Source organism: Homo sapiens, chromosome 1 (genome assembly GCF_000001405.40).
Source record: "Homo sapiens chromosome 1, GRCh38.p14 Primary Assembly".
Classification (NCBI taxonomy): domain Eukaryota; kingdom Metazoa; phylum Chordata; class Mammalia; order Primates; family Hominidae; genus Homo; species Homo sapiens.
Window position 1 is genome coordinate 188,443,316 of NC_000001.11, and position 20,811 is coordinate 188,464,126.

The following is a 20,811-nucleotide window of genomic DNA, read 5'->3' on the forward strand; positions in this document are numbered from 1 at the left end:
TGCCAAACTATCTTTTAAAGGGGCTGTACCATATTGGCATTCCCAACATAAATCCCAAGAAGCACAATTGCTGGATCCAAGAGCATGGTTAATCTTGGAAGAAACTGCCTAATTGTCTTCTAAAGCAGCTGTACTATTATGCAGTACTACCAGCAATGAATGAGAATTCCTTTTGCCTCCTATCCTCAGCTACAATTGTTATTGTCAGTGTTTTGAATTAGTAATTTTAATAGGTGCATAATAGTATCTCATTATTGTTCTAATTTGTAATTTCCTAGTGATATATTATTCATCATAAATTTAAGAGCCTACCTTGGTGCTAGGCACTGTTCTAGAATTCAATAGAACTTCACAAGGAATATCCATACTCATTTTGATGAGGAGGGGGAATCACGAAAGAATAAAATAAGTAATTAACATAATGTGGTATTATATAGTCTAATATAGCATGATATCTAAGAATTTATTTCATATGATATTTTATAATTTAAATAATGATAATCGCTATGAATTAAATAAGTGTGGGGTAAGAAAATAGATGTACATTGACGTATGGGAGATTTGCTAGAGTTCAAAAGTATTGTGAGCAGGGTGTTAGCTGTATAGTTGGTAAGTAATGTTCGCAGTTTGAAAGATTAGCTAACATATGTGTTATGAGAAGAAAATAAGAACTACTCTCAGATTTTTGACCTGAGTAACTCGATGTATGGTGGTGTTATTTGCTGAGGTAGATAGAACTCAATAAAGAAGTCAGGGAAAAGCTGATATTAAGACTTTATTTTGCAATCTGGCTGGGCACGGTGGCTCACACCTGTAATCCCGGCACTTTGGGAGGGCCAAGGCAGGTGGATTACTGAGGTCAGGAGTTCGACTCAGGCTGGCCAACATGGCAAAACCCTGTCTCTCCTAAAAATACAAAAATTAGCTGTGAGTGGTGGCTCGCACCTGTAATCTCAGCAACTCAGAAGGCTGAGGCAGGAGAATTGCTAAAACCCAGCAGGCAGAATTTGCAGTGAGCTGAGATCGTGTCACTGCACTGCAGCCTGGGCGACAGAGCAAAACTCCGACTTAAAAAGAAAAAAGAAAAAAAAAAGAATTTATTTTACAATCTGTTAAAGTTCTTAAAGACTAAAAATTCAGCATACAAACCACAAAAAAGTTCATTAATTCAATCATTGTTTATCATATTTCCAATATAGCTAACTGCTATGATGGGAATAACAAGTCTAAAACACAATTTTATTATAGAAATGTAAATTATTTCACTGTTTAGGAAGAACAGCGGGATAAAATAATTTTAAAATCTCCTCTTGTCTACTTATTCACATCCCTTGCCAAGAGTGGTTTAATTCCCAGATGCTTGAGAAGGAAAAAAAAAAAAAAAGCATCAAGCCTATCCGAGAACTCAAGATGCAGCAACAAATTTTTATCTTTAGGTTCAAAGTATTTATTATAAAGCCTCGCTCATACTGTTCAAACACAGATGTCCCTTCAGTTAAAACTTTCCCTGTACTGTGTTTAATATAGTTATATATTTTCTGCCCAAATTAAATCTCTTTCTATCTCTCTCTGATTTGCATTTTAACAAGATCATTCTGGCAGTTGCTGCTGAACAACAGATAGGAGTTCCAAGAGTGAATGGAAAAAGTGAACTCACACTGGAGGCTGTTGGAGTGAGTGAGTTGTAGATGTCAGAAATGGTTTAATTCTATCATGATTCTGCAGATGTGGAAAGATTTAATACAATTGGTAATCATCTGGATGTGGGTAGTGAGAACAAATAGAATATAGGAGGACTCCGGATTTTTGCCTTTGAGAAAATGGATAGATGAGGGAAGCCATTATAGGAAAATATTTTTCGTGGGTTATATATTTTTATTTTCATTTATTTCTATATACATCTTTTGTAAATAGAAATTAACATATTTCATATGTATTATCTGTATTATTTGTTTGTTTACACCTTCTGGTTAATTTTCTTAAGAAAATTTCCTTTCTTGAGATATTTTAAAAAGTATACATACTTTTACTATTTTAATAGTTTTTGTTTCCAATTTTAACTATTAATTTAGCTTAAATTAACTTGTATATGGTGTGTGAAAGAGTACTGTGATGGTTAACTTTATGTGTCAACTTGGCTAGGTTAAGGGATGCCCAGATAGTTGCTAAAACATTATTTCTAGATGTATGCATGAGGGTCTTTCCAAAGGAAATTCAAATCAGTAGACTGAGTAAAGGAGATCATCCTCAACAATTTGAGTGGACATTAGCCAATCCATTGAGTACCTGAATAGAACTAAAGAGTATCGGAAGGGCAAATTTACCTTTTTTTGTTGTTGTTGTTAGAGCTGGGACATAAATCTTCTGCACACTTGGGCATCCAGCTCCTCCTTTGTACTTGAAAGAAATTGCAACTCAATCTTTGCTGGTTTCCAGTCTTGCAGAAGGCAGATAGTAGGCCTTCCTATCTACTACAATTGCATGAGCCAATGCCCGTAACAAATATCTCCTTCTAAGTATCTATATTTATCCCATTAGTCTCATTTATCTGGATAACCAGGACTGATAAACATATTAATTAATTTTTGTCTTCAAAATGGCTTTCACTTACCTGAGTACTGGTTATTAGTTAATGACATAGATTTTAATGAGTCATCATCTTGTAAGTATTGGGATATCTGCAACTTATGTCAAATATCATCTGGATGATTTTTCTGGAGATTAAATATCATGCATTTTGGAAATACATGAAGTAGTCAGATAAAGATTTGAATGTATTCATTTCAGACTAGGCTTTTCTGATGCATGCGTCAGTATATAATTACAAATTACTAATGTTTTGTGAGAAATGTAGGATTTAAATACATATTGAAATTTACATAGCATAAATATATGTTGAGAAAGGTGCAAGGATTAATTAATGAAAATATCTTATTTCTCATACTTTTGTTTGATTAATAGAAAAATGTGACCTGGAGTATTATTTTCATCTTTATCATCGAACAAATAATCCAAAAAATAATTTTCTGAGTGCATATTACTTTTAATCTATTTTACTATAAAAATGTTACATTTAATATTTTTAAAATGGAAAATTTGATATGTATATGTACCAATGTTAGATTATTCCAACTAAACATATTTGTTTTATTTTAAATAAACCTTTTTTTTGGGCTCATTTGGTGGGACATGAAAATCATGTCCCACATTCTGTAAAACACTTGATATACATCATATTGTTATTAACAATAATTATAATGTTCTCTCTTTTCAAATGTACAGTATCTATGGGACAATTCTCTGTGTTAAGGTTCATTATTCAAATGACCTTTGTTCTTTTTTTCCTCTCTGAAAGATAAGCATCATTCCCACTTTACTAGAATTCTTTTTGAGTATTCCTGGGAGGCCTCATATAGCAAATGATTGTATATTTTCCTTCTAGGACATGGCCCTTACCAAATATCTATTCAATGTTGGATTTCTATGTCTATTCTTCCTTTCTTCCTCCCTCCTCCCCTCCCACCCTCCCTCCCTCCCTCCCTCCTTCCTTCCTTCCTTCCTTCTTTCCTTCCTTCCTTCCTTCCTTCCATCTATTCAGTATTGGATTTCTATATCCTTCCTTTCCTTCCTTCATTCTTTCCTTTCTTCCTTCCTTCCCTCCTTCCATCTATTCAGTATTGGATTTCTATTTCCTTCCTTCCTTCCTTCCTTTCTTCCCTCCCTCCCTCCCCCTCTCTCTTTTCATTTTTTTTAAGGTTTTCACCTTGGTATCCCAGTAACCCAGACGTAAGTCGTGTCACTTAGGTGGCTATTGCGTGTGACTACATGCATGCTGATTTTTTCCTTATTCTGAGAATGTTGACGGAATAGTTCTGCTTGTATGTGAACAAAACTTACCCTCAGAAGTATAACTATATCATGTCTATAAGCCACTGTTAAAAATACCTCAATGCTTCCTTATAATCTATGCAGTAAATCATCAAAATATATACAAATTTAATAGTTAAAACTTTTTAATGGCAGCAACATTTATGGGAGAGAAAGTTAGAAACAACTTTCTTAGAAATGTTTAACTTAATTTTCATATAACTCTGACTTTATTGTTACCATGTAAATTACCGAGGCATAATAAGTAGTCCAACACATTTTAATTTTGTTTTCTTCATAAGAAATAAACGTAGTAGCTTTATTTTCCATCAATTGAATTAAATATAATTAGTCTTAAATAATATAATTACAAAGTTTTCTTTTCAATTAGACCTTTATATACTTGTAACAAAAACTGCTTGTGATTCTGTGTACTATATCTAAACAAGTGTCATTATGACCTAAAAGCTTTACGCCTTTTATGTACTTTAGTCTGAAACATTTACTGCTACTATTACATTTTGCAATTACAGTGAAGTGAGGCAGAAAATAGCAGTTCAAAAATGTATTCAAGTAATGAAGTTGGAACCATTAGTTTCAAGGCTCTTGTTATTTTAGTAAATATTTAATCTTTCTAGCAGCATGGGTTCCTAATTGATCTTTAAGTATTATTGTTCTTGGACATTTCTAATCGACTTCTAATTGCTACATTAAGGCAGTTAGGGAATAAAATGTAATGGATGGTGGAGACTTTTACAGTACACTTAATCAACAGAATATAGTAAAACTTATAACTCATTTCCATTATTGAAATTTGAATCAAAATACACTAAAGTCTACCTTTATATCCATCTTCTTATTTTGAAGAGTTCTACTGATCTAAAGAAATCCATAAATAATGTATTCCATTTATGCTAAGATAGATATGTGCAATAAATTATTAAGATGTGATTTAAAATCTCTTTTAATAATAGTTATTTTTGGTAATTCCCAGGTTCCTATGTATTTCATTTTAATTTTATTCAGATCACCTTTAATTTTCATGTATATCTATCTCTTTATCTCCCTAACTTATAGAAAGTGAACCAGTTCATTCATTTATGAGAAATGTATTGAACATTTAAATTATAAGCAAGGTAGTATAAACTCAAGAAATATAAAACAAAGTCCTTCACTTATTGTTAATAATAGTTGCATAGACACCAGACGATAACTCTTACATTCCACATCAGATCCAGATGGAACAAGACCTGAGAGACATAGCTAGAGAAACTCTTCTGCTGATTCTATTTGAGCTCCTTTAGCTGCTTAAAACTTACAAACCACTCAATTTTTCAATTCCATAGTGAATCTATGAATTCACTTTTTTCTTCTCTTCTTTTTTTTTAATGTTAACAGGAATTTGGAAGAATGCTTTTTATAATATATTTTAGTTAGATCTTTTCATACAAAAGAGGAAGAATAGTAAAATAAATGAATTGGTAATGAGGTCATTGAATCTCTTAATTTGATTATATCTCACTATTTTTCTTTTCTGAAATTATGAATAGTAGTTAATTACTAATTCCCACTTCATTTTAGATTCATGTTTTGTCATTCAAAAATAACAAAAAGTTTCTGGAAACATGACAGGATATTATTTGAATTAAGCATTACTCAGCTTTGGCTGGGCGCGGTGGCTCACTCCTGTAATCCCAGCACTTTGGGAGGCCGAGGCTGGCGAATCACGAGGTCAGGAGATCGAGACCATCCTGGCTAACACGGTGAAACCCCGTCTCTACTAAAAATACAAAAAACTAGCTGGGCATGGTGGCGGGTGCCTGTAGTCCCAGCTACTCGGGAGGCTGAGGCAGGAGAATGGCATGAACCCGGGAGGCGGAGCTTGCAGTGAGCCGAGACTGCGCCACTGCACTCCAGCCTGGGTGACAGAGGGAGACTCCGTCTCAAAAAAAAAAAAAAAAAATTACTCAGCTTTTAATATATTAACTAAGTCAAGAGATTTTACTAAATTTCAATTGAGACTCAAATTTATAGAATAGAAATGCATTATTATATTACAGTTGAAGTAGCTTATGTTCAATTTAGGGAAGCACTGAATACCATAAATCTGAAATGATGAGCTGGTCATACCCTTTGACTATTGGAATCATGATAAATCTAGTCTTCATTGAATTTACTTATTAAATTTGGTCAATTTCTAAAAGGTAATTTATTTCCTCATTATACTTGTGATGAGAGTGGTAGCTACAGAACTGTTTAATTATGAAAAAAAATTCTGAAAAACTGGCTAATTAAAGTTACTAAACTTCTTGATGTTTTTCCTAATTAAGCCTAAGGGAAATATAAAGAGTATTTTCAATTAAAATAAACTATATAAATATACTGACTGCTGCAATTTGAAATTTGTTCCTTACTTACATCTAAAGATTTATAAGTCATAGTGCATCCAAGGAAAAATCAATCTTAAAACTTATTTAATAAAAAATAAGCAAATAAATTTGTCTTAAAATGTTATGTAATTTCAAAAGAAAAAACATAAAGAGAGAAAGAAAAGATGGTTTCGTATTATAAAACTCTTGATGTCAGAGACAATATATTATGATTTTTTTTAAATTAACAATATCTAATCAGGATTATGGGAAGATTTTTTTCACTTCAGAAGGAAATAAATATAGATTTAATTCCTTAAAATAATCAGAAGGAGGAAAATATTCAAAGTGGGAAGAAAACAATCAGTGAGAATATACGTTAATTATTAATTATAATTAATTAAAAAGTGGCAGTTGAATCATTCAGTTGGAAAATTTTAACACAGTTTATTAGGAAAATTATTAAAAGTTGAACTTTTTAATTTTTCAGTAGAAATTTTAAGAAGAAATATATGAGATGAATTTTTGTACTTTAATCAATTGATTGAATGAAACATAATTACTTATATGGTACTCTTGATTTCCCAAAATAACACCTGAGAAACTGTTTTTTTGTTTTGTTTTGTTTTGTTTTGCTTTTTTGAGATGGAGTCTTGCTCTGTCACCCAGGCTGGAGTGCAGTGGCACAGTCTCGGCTCTCTGCAGCCTCTGCCTCCCGGGTTGCAGTGATTCTCCTGCCTCAGCCTCCTGGGTAGCAGGGATTACATGTGCACACCACCACGCTGGCTAATTTTTGTATTTTTAGTAGAGACGGGGTTTCGCCATGTTGGCCAGGCTGGTCTCGAACTCCTGACCTCAGGCAATTAGCCCACCTCGGCCTCCCAAAGTGCTGGGATTACAGGCGTGACCCACCACGCCCGGCCTGAGAAACTTTTAATTGAACGAAACTAAATTCACTACAATAAGGGAAAAACCATCTGTCTCATTCTTAGCATCATCTCAGAAGGGAAAGTCAAAGGCGGGATAAGATGCGGACTCTGTGGTCTGGGTAAAGTAATTTAAGGTGGATTTCTCATGATGGGGAATTGCTTTAGATTTGGCATTTGGCATTTGATGATATTTGATTTGGCATTATTCATGCTATTAGGATTGGACAGACTGAAGCAAGGATCTTGAAGTGAATGTTGATGAGCACACTGCTGTTTGATAAACGAGCCAATTGTTATCATCTGATAAACTGACCTCTTATAATTCCAGTAAATAGCGAAGTTATTTATTGGTTCATGCTCTTATATGTCTTTGGTATAAATTTCCTCAAAGAAACAACTAAGTTATATTAATGTGGGTAGACTACCATTCTATTAGTCGTGTTGCCAAAGACAGCTTTGATGATTACACTTAACTATATGCCTGATCTTGTTTTATGTGCTTTTTAATTAGCTAATTTAATTCTCATCAAAAATTTGTGGATTTTTCATGTTGTATTCTTATCCTTATTTTACAGATGAATAAATTGAGTATCAGAAAGGTTAAGAAGCTTGTCCAGGGTCAAACCACTATGTAAACATTTCTATATAAATCTGTTCATAGTGTTTATCTTTGAAGTAGAGGCGTTGTAGAGAGATGGGGAGGTGGAAGAAAGGTTGAATAAAGGGTTATTACATTCTATTGCTTGTTATTGTTATTAATAAATAAATGTATAAATACTGAAAATAAAATAATCGAGAGCTGGCATTGAGGTATTTCTTTTTTCAAGTTTTTCACCTCAGATATTTGGAAACTTTACAGTGATCAAATTGTTTCTTTTCATTCAAAATACTAGTATTTTCAAAGACAACTAAAAATGTGATTTAGAAAAGAATTTTGTCAGTAGAGTGCCCTTAATGTTTTTGTGTATCTATATAATATACATATATATACACGCATATATAAATATAAGATGCTGTCAAAATAACATACAGAAATGTAACATACCATTATATTGGCAAAATTCTCTTCTAAATCATATTTTTAGTTGAGTCTGTAAACAGAAGTATTTCAAATAAAAAGTATTTAATACTAACAACAACATATATGCATGTCTTTAATGTTTTTGTGTACAATCTCTATATTTTTAGGTACTTTCAAAGTAACATATACGGAAATATAACAGGCCACGATATTGGCAAAATTCTTTTCAAATTGTGTTTTCAGGTGATTTTGAAAATATTAGTATTTGAAATAAAAGTATTTACTTACTAACAATAATATATATGCATGCCTTTAAGGATTTGCTTATCAAAGAGTGAAAATAATTTGGTTCTGCATGCTGATGAATGTAACAGGTGTTTATTAGGGCTATGTTTAAGACCACATTTTTGCAAATGCCATTGCAAATGTGTGAATTTCTAAAACCAAAATTGTGGTCTACTATTGAAGAATTTAAAACAAGAATAAATAGTAGAATGAATATATGTATATCTGATATGCTAAAGGAATAATAGGTTGTATGATGTCATATGTTACAAAAGTGTTTTATCTCATGTAAATAATAAAATAAAATATTTTTTCTAATCACAATGTATATATTTTTGGAAAGGTCTCTGATGCATTATTTACCTAATGTGTCTAAAATTTATGATAGAAGTATTATAGTGTTACAACTCATTGGTACAACTAGATTAAAATAGAATTTTCTGACTAAGTTAGACAGAAGGGGCTTTTATTCTATAGAGAGGAGAAAGGCGATTTCAGGAAATGCAAAGAGATTGATCAGAAGAAGCAGTTTTAAAAGGCCCTCCATGTTTTCAAGAAATTACAAGAAGTCCAGGATGACTATAGATTTCAAATAAGAGAAAAAAAATAGCTATCTAAAGATAGATCAAAATGAACTTTGGAATATGGAGTTTGGTCTAATACTTCTTATAAAGAATTGTCTATGATATATTTGAGTAAGGAAGTGAAATTATATTTTCCTTTTAGAAAGATTATAATGTTAGCAAAATATGATACTGTGGAAAACTGATTTTAGTATGGGAAGTATCAAGGACCTCAGTTAGGAAATATCTGAATCATTTTCATCAAGGGAGTTAAGTCTGACCAAGATTTGAAATCAAACTGAATAAAATTCTAATTATACCTTTGCTATTTAGTACCTATAAGGGACTTACTCACACTAGAAATTATGAGTGATCATTATGTGAAATAATGTTTGAAAATCCGTTAGTATAGATTCTAGCACATAGTAAGCAGCAAGATATGATACTATGTTATCTGTATGTGTGTGTCTGCATGCGTGTGTGTGCATTTCTACGTCTTTGAAATACGAGTGATTTGCAAAGCATAACCAATAAGCAGTGTTTAACAAATAGAGTTTAACAAATACAGTGCACCGACATGCACAATCAAAATGCAATCTAGAAGACTTTGAGAGTCAATTCACAATTATCATCACCAATAATGGCTATGAGGAGTAAAGGACAGGTGAATTAGTAGATAGGAGATTGTGGGTTCCTCAAGATAGAGAAGACAGAAAAAGATCTAGGTTTAAGAGAAAGAACAAAATTTAGCTTTGTATATGCTGCATTAGAGATGATAGTAGGAAAACATAAAATTGACCTGCAGCAGTATTTGATGAGGGGTCAAGAGACCAGTGATGGAACAAGGGTAAATAATGTGAATGTTAAACAGCGCAAAAGAAGGGTTTAGATACTGCATGATGAACTATCAAAAAGCAGTGTTGCTAATATGAATGCAATGTTTCAGCTTTTAGAAGAAAGAAAGGAGATAGTCAAACCACTTTAGTTGTCACTTTTAAAAACACGTATGAAAACATATTGGTTTTAATTGGGAAAATATATCAAGCAAAGAATTTGCCACTCACATCAATTTGATATACCTAAATATAAAAATAGAAGACTGAGTTTATAACATATTATTTTCACTAATGGAAAGCCAACAATAGCTAAAACGTAAAAAAAGTCTGGTATCCTAGAATGTAGCTTGTTTTAAAATGTTTTTGATAATGCAATTTTTTTCTCTTAGGTGATAAAATACATCGAATCAAATCCAGAACAGATTCATTACAAATTGTGAGGTTTTGCCCAACCACATTGGTATAGGAGAATAAGTATTTCCACTACTAAATTCCATTTTATCTCTTGTGTGTTTATTTCTCATTTTCATAAAATGCTTCTTGACATAAAGATTAGTAAATATTTAATAAACAAAACCATGGGGAAAGCAAAAATAAAATTAAAATAATTTTATTGATGTGATATTTAATTGTTAATCTATTTCAGAATAATTATTATGATTTTTATTTATTTAAAAATGTCTTTCAAGTACTAGATATTGTAATAAAACCTAGATTATCATTAAAAATGATTATCAATCCACAAACAAATAACAAAAATCACTGCTCTGTCAGCAAAAGAGTCCCCCAATAAGACAGGGAAAGTAAACCAACTCTGTTGAAGCAGAGGCACTCATTGAGTGTTCAATTCTAATCATGAACGTAGTTACTATCTCAACTATAAAAGATTTGTTCTCTACTTTAACATTTTAAGATTAAAACAAATTGGATTAAGGGTTAAGACACTGACATTCATGATCTTTTTTGCTGCCTAAATGTTTAAACAGGAAGAGACCTTGGTAAATTCTACATCTTTGAAATACAAGTGATTTGTGAAGCATGACCAGTAAGCAGTGTTTAACAAATAGAGATTAACAAATAGAGTCTGGGATACTAGTGGGGTCTTGCAGTTTGTAAAGTAATCCTGAGGCAATCTTTAACTACCAGAGTAAAAAGAAAATAGGAACTCAAACATTGATTTCACATTTAATAAATCTAAAATATATGGTTAATATTTCCACTCATTAAATTACATTTGTAGATTTGTAGAAATCATTAGAGCTCTAGAGGTTGTATATGTGCCACAAGGACTGTGAGGTCTCTTGTCTTGGTTAGCATATATTAGCTCAATACACTTTATCTCAGTTTATCTTTTTATCACATCATTCATGTGCTATTATTCATATTTTTTAAATGTTTACATTGTTGATATTGAAATCTCACATCAAAGCTTCAATTTATAAAAATACATCAATGGCTCAAAAGTGGTTTGTTGATGCATCATAGTGGTGTTGAAACAAAAACATAACTATAATAATGTACAATCCAATTTTAAATATAAAAAGTAAGGAGAACTTAGGGGGAAATTTACTTTATTCCTATCCTTGTCCTCTGAAAGCTTTGAAAGATCACCCTGCTGTCTTTGCCATTCGGATAGCTCTTCAAGCTCTTGACAATTCCCACATTTAGAACATGCTCATTTATATTCTTACTCATTTTGGGTTATGGGAACTAGAGATGCATGGCTTATTTAGAAAGCAAAGTCCCAAAAGGTGGATATAGAGCCTACTATGTCCCTCTCTAAACTATCCTAATATCCTTTAAGACCTGAGGTTATTATTATTATTATTATTCTATTACTATTAACCTATTATTTAAGGACTCCTTGGCAAGGTCTCCTTGCTTCCAACTTTTGCCTATGCAAAACATTCATTTTACCTAGGGATGACGATTGGGGTGAGTAAACTAATTGAAGTGTTAACAAATAGTCGAATATTTACCAGCCATAAATAAAATTGTAAAACACAGATTCCATTGGGCCCCAAACCCCAATACTACAGTCACTTTCATACCCTCCAATGTCACTCATTTGCCATTGTTGACTTATGCTCTGATTTTTTCAGCATGCCTCTTCACCCTGACTCTCAATAGCTAATCTCCTTTACATGGGAAAAGCAACAGTGTCCTTGGTTAGTTGTGTACCAGAGATTTACAGAAGACCCCAGTTATTTTTCCTGGACATTAAATGCAAATCCAAGGGGATTTCATCTTCCTTTACAATTTAACGCTCATCCAATATGTAGATGACTTTCTTCTTTATTCTATAACGTTTGATAATTCTTTGGAAACCTTGGAAACCACACACTACTTATTAAAAACCTTGGCTCTAAAGGGACATAAGATATCAAAAAATAAAACCATCTCCATTCACCTGGAATAACAGAGCGAATGGAAAAATAAAATTAAAAAATGCTAAAACGAAGAAAGGACTTAATCTCCTATGATGTAAGGTTTTATTCCTTAGGTCCCAATATAAAATAATAACTGGCTGACATGAAGATTCTCTGTTTTTCCTGCGTCTTGAATATTTGAACCTGATCAATTCATATGTTCCAAAATACTTCAAGAGATTTATTAATTATATTCACCTACCATCAACAGGTAGAAGCTGCTTTTCTCTAGTTCTATGCAAACCACTCTACAACCTAGAAATTGGAGATTTAATTCTCTGGAAGGGACGTCATCAGAAAACTAATCTTTTGCCTTGTCCACAGGGCCCTTATGTCATACTCCTCACCACTAACATTGCTGCAAAACTCCAAGAGGTCCAATCTAGATGCATGTCGTTCAAATGTAAACATCCAAAAGCTCCTCAAATGGCAGTCCATCTAAATTGGACATTGGAAACTGTAGCTCTCTCAAGATTCCTCCATAAACAAATGGCACCACAAGGTAGATAGCTTTCATAAGAACTTCAGACCAACCAGATAAAAATAGGAGTTAGTTACCTTTCCCTTAAAATGTTGAAAACAAAATCCCCTAGGATTTCCTTGTTTATTTCCTAACCTCAGTATTTTTGTTATCTTTCTTGACTGTATTCTTCTTCTCTGTCTCCTTCAAGTTGGTATTTACATAAATTTTCACCCCCACTACACTCCAGCTTTCCAATAACAGACCTTGCTTTGCATTCTTTCTTCCTTGCTTCACCCAAGCTGTTCCTTCATTAGTAGTTCCATGAGTCTAACCTAGATCTCTGAGTCCATGATATTCATTCACCCAGTTCATAGCAAAATATCACAACCCTATTTTTGCTTGCTGGTTATATCCTCTCTTTCCTTTAGAAGCTTCTAGATTCTCCTAAATGTTTATGCTATTTCAGGTTCAAGGGCATTTACGTTATCACTCAGAAGCCCTTTAGGTTTTCTCTCTAAACTTCAACAAGAACTTCCTTCAACTTCAATGTTTTCAAAAGAGCTGTATATGCTTCCACCCTAACATAACCAAGGACAGTTTCATGGGCCTAAGTGTCTGTAATTATAAATACTCTGCAACAAATAAAAATACATATGTTTTTACAATGAAAGGCAAGAGTTCATATTCCTTGCCTTGTTATGTGCTTTAATAGACCTAGAAAATCATAAATACAATTTTATCTGATATGCTTGGGATAATTGTCTTCATTAAAGAAACTTTTCTCTTCCCAAGTGGACAAGATGGTATCTTCATCCAAAGATGTCCTATAGACTCCAAAATACAAAATCATGGGACAATTATTTACACAAAACCTGGATAACTACTAACAAGACATATTTTATTTGTGGCAACCATGCCTATAGGTACCTGCCCACTAATTGGATCCTGTTATTCAGCTAACTTTATTAGTTCTTATCAAATCTTTAATCACAATGTCTTATTTTCTCACCTTAACCACTCTATTGCATAAGGTTTAAGTTTTCTAGGTACCAGATGATCCAAAAGTCTACAAAAAATGTATTACGACTACAGACTTTGGTGCACAATTCCAGCCCCAGAAGGAGGTTGTAACCTTACTTTCTCACAAGATTCTCGATTAGCCTTAGAATGAAAGGTTAAACGAGTGAGAGTAAACTTAAAGGACTTGATTATTACAGCAGATCGTGTATTCTTTCCTGGAGCAGCTGCCCCATGGTCAACTCAAGGTCACTAGAATGCCAATATTTTCAGTGTTCTGCCTTAAGAAATAACCAGGACTGTCATTCTTACCAAAACCACCAACATCATCACTAGAGAACTACAGTAACTCCAATGAGTTGTCCTCTACAATCATCTGCCATTAGGCATCTCTGGAGGAAGCTCTTCCACAGTGATCACAAGTGATGGTTATGTATATCTTCCATGGGACTTCACTGATGTCTATGTCAATAACCAAAAATATTTAGATGGGAAACTGGGAACTTTGTTAGATTATCTCTCTTGTCCCCATTCTGCAATCTAATACACTTTGAATCCAATGTCTTGAAATCCTCTAACATGGCTCTCTTCAGATTTTGGATCCTGTTTCACTCCCTGCAAAATTACAATTGTTATTTTTATTATATTCCTATTCATATGTCTCACCAAGTGCCTACTCTCTCACTCCTCCAACAGCTGTCATTCAGACAACATACTTAACAGGTGATATGGCTTGTCCTTCAAGGCCAGCTATAACATAAAGTCCAGCCCACTTCTGAAAATTGCATTGGTTAGCCTCAGCCTGACAATGACTCTTATTTTATCTCTAATTGTGTTTAAGTACAGTCTTCGTCTTCTCTGATAGAGAGAACTTAGCCAAATGCTCACAATTTTCCATGACTGACCCTCTAACTTGGCTTGACCACTCTTTAGTCAGCCTTTTATTGTCTTTGCAATACCCTGACCTTTGGTTCACTTTTAGGTTTATCCAAGCAGACATCTTCTTTTAATAGCTCATTCTGATCACAGAAATGCATGTTTCCTGGTAAGCCATCTCAGTCATGGTGTCACCTCCAGCTCTTGCCATGATTCTCCTAAAAGTTCTTATTCATGATGCTTAGTTCACCCCATAAAAGAAAGCCTTTTACTGTTTGATATTGAGCTGCCTACACATTCCGTGGTAGAAACATTCTTGATATTGCAGTAATCTTTTCTAGTAAAGTCTCTCCTTACTTAAGTCTGATTTGTTTTTATTTGATGATGTCTATGCTTCAGTTTTGTAATAATTAACTGAAAAAATTTACTCTGAGTGCCTGCAGTTCCTGATTTAGTATAGAATTAATATTTTTGCAAATGCTCTAGGAGTCTACAGACAAAATGACCTCTCAATTCAGGGCTTGTGCTTCCCCCAGGAAGAGCACCTGCCTCCTCTTTCCCAGGACTGTAGCCTATATTTTCATTGTGATTACTTCTGCTGCTATTGCCCTTATCACTGTCATAATTTATATCCCTAGGGCATCACCTCTGAGCCCCATGGCTCCAATTGCTCAGGCATGTATGTGTGTGCTGGTGAGCCATGTCAACTACTCAGTGGACACATTGCTTATTCTTTCCCCTAGATACTCCTTAAACCCCTCCTGCCATCTACCATCACCATGGCCTGAGCCTATATGTGCTTGCTGCTACCCAGCATATCTCCTCTGCTCACAGGCAGATTCTACTGTCCAGTGAAACTTCACCTACAAAACACAAGTTCAAAGATGAAATGATTAAGAATTTCAAGACAGTTGACAGCAGAGCATTTAATCAAGGGCAGAAAAGTTCCTGAAAGTAGGACTCTGTGTGTCTATACTTGTGTCACACTCATAAAACCAGTTCTACTGGGGAACTTTCCACAGAATTGGAATCAGGGACTAATCAAGGCACAGTTTCTATCCCAGTGTGGAAGGCCACCACCAGTTCTGTCTAGTGAGACTTAGCAAAAGCTACCAACAAGTGGCTGTTAACTCAACTTTGTACCTGTTTATTATAGGGGTGTTTGCTGTAGTTATTCCATATCTGTTCAATTATTAAATGTGAGGTAACAAAAGAGTCTTTTAAATTAGAAGTTTTCTGGACCGAGACATACCATACCTGGGCTTTGAGTTTGAGGTTATTATTAGGTTAGGCTTTGTAGTTTTCTCTGTTGAGAAAGAGGATACTTAAAATAGTAACATTTAGTGTCAGAAAGAAGTATGAGCCTAATATGAATATTTTTGACCTGAAGTATGGTTTATTATCATCATTAAGGTTATTCATGAATGTCCTATTGTCTTGTGCTAGAGATAATCTGAGATCACTCTTTTTGTTTACTGGAACTCAGGAATTATTTTGGCTAATGAATTGCAAAAACGTGTATGTGTAGTATTTGGGCATCAGCTCTTAAAGCCAGTAACCACTTTGTTTTGTCCTTGCCCTTGATATGGTAACAGTGTGTGTCACATCCGACCCTCTGTCAGCCAGTGTCCCTGAGAGACAAATATGATCAATCTCTGGTGCCAAACCATGATAGGCATACTCATTGAACAAAAAAAAGTGTTGTTTTAAATGACTAAAAGTTTAGTTTTATATCCTATAGGTAATTTAGAATAATACCAGTAATAAATTATGCAGCACGATGAAAAGATAGCAACTATGGAAAAAATTAACTGAAGGCCAGGTTGAATTCTAAATTGGAAATATGTGTCAGAGTATAACTTACTGCGAAGGTTTTTGCCTATCTTTAAATAAAAGCCAGTTTTCTCCTGTGTAAGCCAGTTGTAACTTTGAAGAAAAAGAAAACAATGTTTAGTGGGGCTAACATAGTAACTATTTCCACTGAGAACAATGAAGAGATCAACACTTGCTATAACATTTAAAGCTGCAGTTCATTAATAAAAACAAAAGTTAGTACATTATGTAGTTAAGTAACTTGCAAAATAATATTTGAAGTTAATAGAAAATATGCTCTAAAGAAAAAGTAGATTATTGGCAAATTACTTTTTTTACATTACACTTCTGGTACATGTATATTAACTATAATATATTAGAACAATTAAAAGTTAACACTTTTTTTAACAAATGATTAGTTTCAAATGGAATGAAACCACTAGTAGACACACATATGAAGGAGGAGAGCTTAATGACTTTTTAATGTGTTTATTGTTAAAAATTCATGATATAGAAAAAAATTCCTTAGTTAATGACAACTTTTAAGACACTACCTGGAATGGAAAAGAAGTGTAAGTATCAATGGAATATCAACTATGTCATAACAAGGATGCATATCCTTCAAAATTAAAAATACTAAGCCAGGCTCAGTGGCTCATGCCTGTAACCCCAACACTTTGGGAGGCTGAGGTTGGAGGACTGCTTGATCCCAGAAGTTGGAGACCAGCCAAGGAAACATAGGGAGACCCCGTCTCTACAAAAAATAAAACTAAAAAATTAGCTAGGTGTGGCAGCTCACATCTGTGGTCCCAGCTAAACAGGAGGCTGAGGCAGGAGGATCAGTTGAGCCCTGCAGGTCAAGGCTGCAGTGCACCATGATTGTGCCACTGCACTCCAGCCTGGGCAACATATGGAGACCCTTTCTAAAATAAATAAATTAAATAAAATTAAAAACCCTCAAAGCAATTAAGAAACTGCATCGGAATTCTAAGCCTTTTTTTTACATGTTCAAACAGAAAAACTGAAAGCTAAAATATTTTTCTAGATAATTATTCCATGTTGAAGAACATCCTAAACTTTTGTCATTATTAATGTATCCATGAGTGTACATCTCTTCAAACATATGATGCTTATAACCAGAGAGTTAGCACAGAAATATAAGATTAGAAGAAAAACATTTAGATTGTTTAAAAATTTTTAAAAGATTTAAAAATTGTTTGTAGAATCGCTTTCAGTAAAGTTAGGTTGGTGCTAATGTAACTGTGGTTTCGGACCTTAAATTTTAAATCATTATAAATAGGCTCAAACACATCTTTATTAATTAAAATAGGAGCCATCATCATCAACACACTTTTGCCAACAAGAAATGAATTTGTTTATTCCTGTAGTGTAAAAATTCATGCTTTGGGATTCAGCGAATTGTTGGAAAGCATTTTCTGCATCCTGCAGAAATTTCCGTGCAAAAAGTTGTTGAGATGTTTGAAGAAGTGGTAGTCAGGTGAAAAGAGGTCAGGTGAATATGGCGGATGAGACAAAAGTTTGTAGTCCAATCAACTTTTGAAGCATTGGTTGTGCGACATGCGATTGGCCATTGTCATGGAGAAGAATTGGGCTCTTTCTGTTAACCAATGCCAGCTGCAGGCGTTACAGTTTTTGGTGCATCTCATCAATTTGTTGAGCATACTTCTCAGATATAATGGTTTCTCCAGGATTCAGAAAGCTGTACTGGATCAGACCCGCAGTGGACCACTAAATAGAGACCATGACCATTTTTTTGGTTCAAATGTGGCTTTGAGAAGTGCTTTGGAGCTTCTTCAGGGTCCAACCAATGAGGTGGTTGTCTCCGGTTGTCCTATAAAATCTACTTTTCATGGCATGTCACGATCCGATTGAGAAATCGTTCATTGTTTAGAATTAGAATTGTTAGAATAAGAGAAGATGACACTTCAAAATGATTTTTTTTAACTCAGCTCCTGTGGCACCCACTTATCAAGGTTTTTCACTTTTCCAATGTACTTCCAATGCAAATGACCGAAGAATGGTTGACGTTGAGTTCTTTGACAACTTCTCTTGTAGTTGTAGGACAATCAGCTACGATGACTGCTCTCAGTTGGTCATTGCCAACTTCTGATGGCCGGCCACTACACTTCTCATCTTCAAGGTTCTTGTTTTCTTTGCAAAGCTTCTTGAACTACCACTGTACTGTATGTGCGTTAGCAGTTCCTGGGCCAAATGCGTTGTTGATGTTGTGAGTTTCTGTTGCTTTACGACCCATTTTGAACTCAAATAAGAAAATTGCTCGAATTTGCTTTTTGTCTAACATCACTTCCATACTCTAAAATAAGCATTAAAAAAATCAAGTAATAAATCATTAGCAAGAAAACATAAAGCAAGAAATGCCCATTAAAATAATACGTGACATAACCACATTTATTTATACTTAAGAATGTTTTCCAATATCAAACGGCATTCCAACAATGCAAAAACCACAATTACTATTGCATTTACTGAATAACAATGTCTGCTATGTAAAGTAAGTTCCTTTAGTTTGTATCTCAGTGATATATTCCATACCTTAAAGAACCTAAACTGATTGACTCAGAACCATTTTGCATTCTGAGGTTTTCATTTAGGAAAAAAAATATTTTATTTGCAGTCATCTAAACTATAATATGTAAATTCAGGATTGACATATCATTCCCTTTAATTATGCATTTCTGACCTTTATATCCACTTGATTCCTAATAAATTTTAATCAGAGACATATTACTTACCCAAGCTTTGTTTATTTGAACTATTTAGCTGTATAAAATTAGCACAAGAAAAGATAAATTTGAGTAACTTAAAAATAGCATACTAGGGATTAGGATAACTAACTTTTGAGCATTGTGCCAAGGACTTTGCTAAGAGGATCACACAAATTATTTTATATAACCTTAAAAGCCACTGTTATCTCCTTTTTAGAGACCTGTAAACTTAGATTTGGTGAGGTCAGGTATTAATATTTCCAGAGCTATGCAGCTAATTAGACCAATGTCAACATTGTGTCTCTAGATTGATATTCTTAATGCCATTCTCTTCTTGTGTCTTACTGAATCACCCTGTGTTGCACATCTGGGCCTTTCATTCAACATCCATTGATAACACTTATTCCAAAAGCTATTACAATTAGGTGGGCCAGTATAATACAACTATTATAACTTTCCTTGCCTTCATGCTTTCCCCACACTGATCTTCTAAAATTGCATAGCATTACATCATCCCTTACACAAAAATCTTAAATGATTTCTCATTGCTTATCTGTCTAAATATTTTAGTGTTTGAGATCTTCCACAATATAGTAATAATTTAGGTTTTCAAAACTTAACTATTTTTTCCAAGTAAAGTCAATGTACATTTTTCATGCACTTAATATGAAAATACTATGGAAGGCAGAGGCAATTCCATTCAAATACTTGTATGCCACACCCATTTGCCAAACCTATATATTGTAATCCTTTTCATTCTTTAAATAACGGTTCAAAACAGCAATCCTTTATTTCCTAACTAGAAATGATTTATATTTTATCTAACCTTTGTGAAATAATGTTATATTGCAAGTATATTTCTATCTACAGACTTATTTTGATGAAATTATATAAATATTTGCTGAAAACATATTCAATTTAAAGACCAGAAATAGAGTCTAGAAATATAAATTCCATGTCTCAAAAATACCTAAATTTCTTGTCAATTTAAGAGAAACAAAACAGTAGTTGTGAATTTGGGAAAAGACACTACTATCAAGTGTGTGTATTTTTTAAATATAAAGTATGAGATTCAAATAAAAATGTTATCAAATTGATGTATGACGTTTTACTATTATTTTTTCTTAATTTTCATTCAGAGTCACTCTGAACCTAAATGACCTTTTATTAAATATGATTATTTGGAAGTCTCAAGTGGCTCTGGGTATTTAGGACAAGATCTCATAGTTGAATATTATGAGAAGTGAGCTATATCAAAGCACAGGAAAAGGGAAGCTAGACAAAGTGAAGTTAAATGCAGCAAATGCCAATGTAGTTTTCCAAAGTTCTCTTTCTCCACCATCTCTGCAAGTGGTTTTCTCTGCTTCTTGATGTTGTCAACAAACGGTTGTTTGCCTCGTTTACAGAAGCTGAATTTTGTACCTTACCACAATCTTTCTATACTTAGAGCTTACACCACCATTTTGTAAGATCCTTTAGAAATAACCTGCATATTCAGTATTACCCTTCCAGTGATTATTTACAGATGCTAGAGGCTTCATAAATCCTAACCCACACTATCAGTTCACTCAGACTGAAAATATCTCTGAGGTTTTCT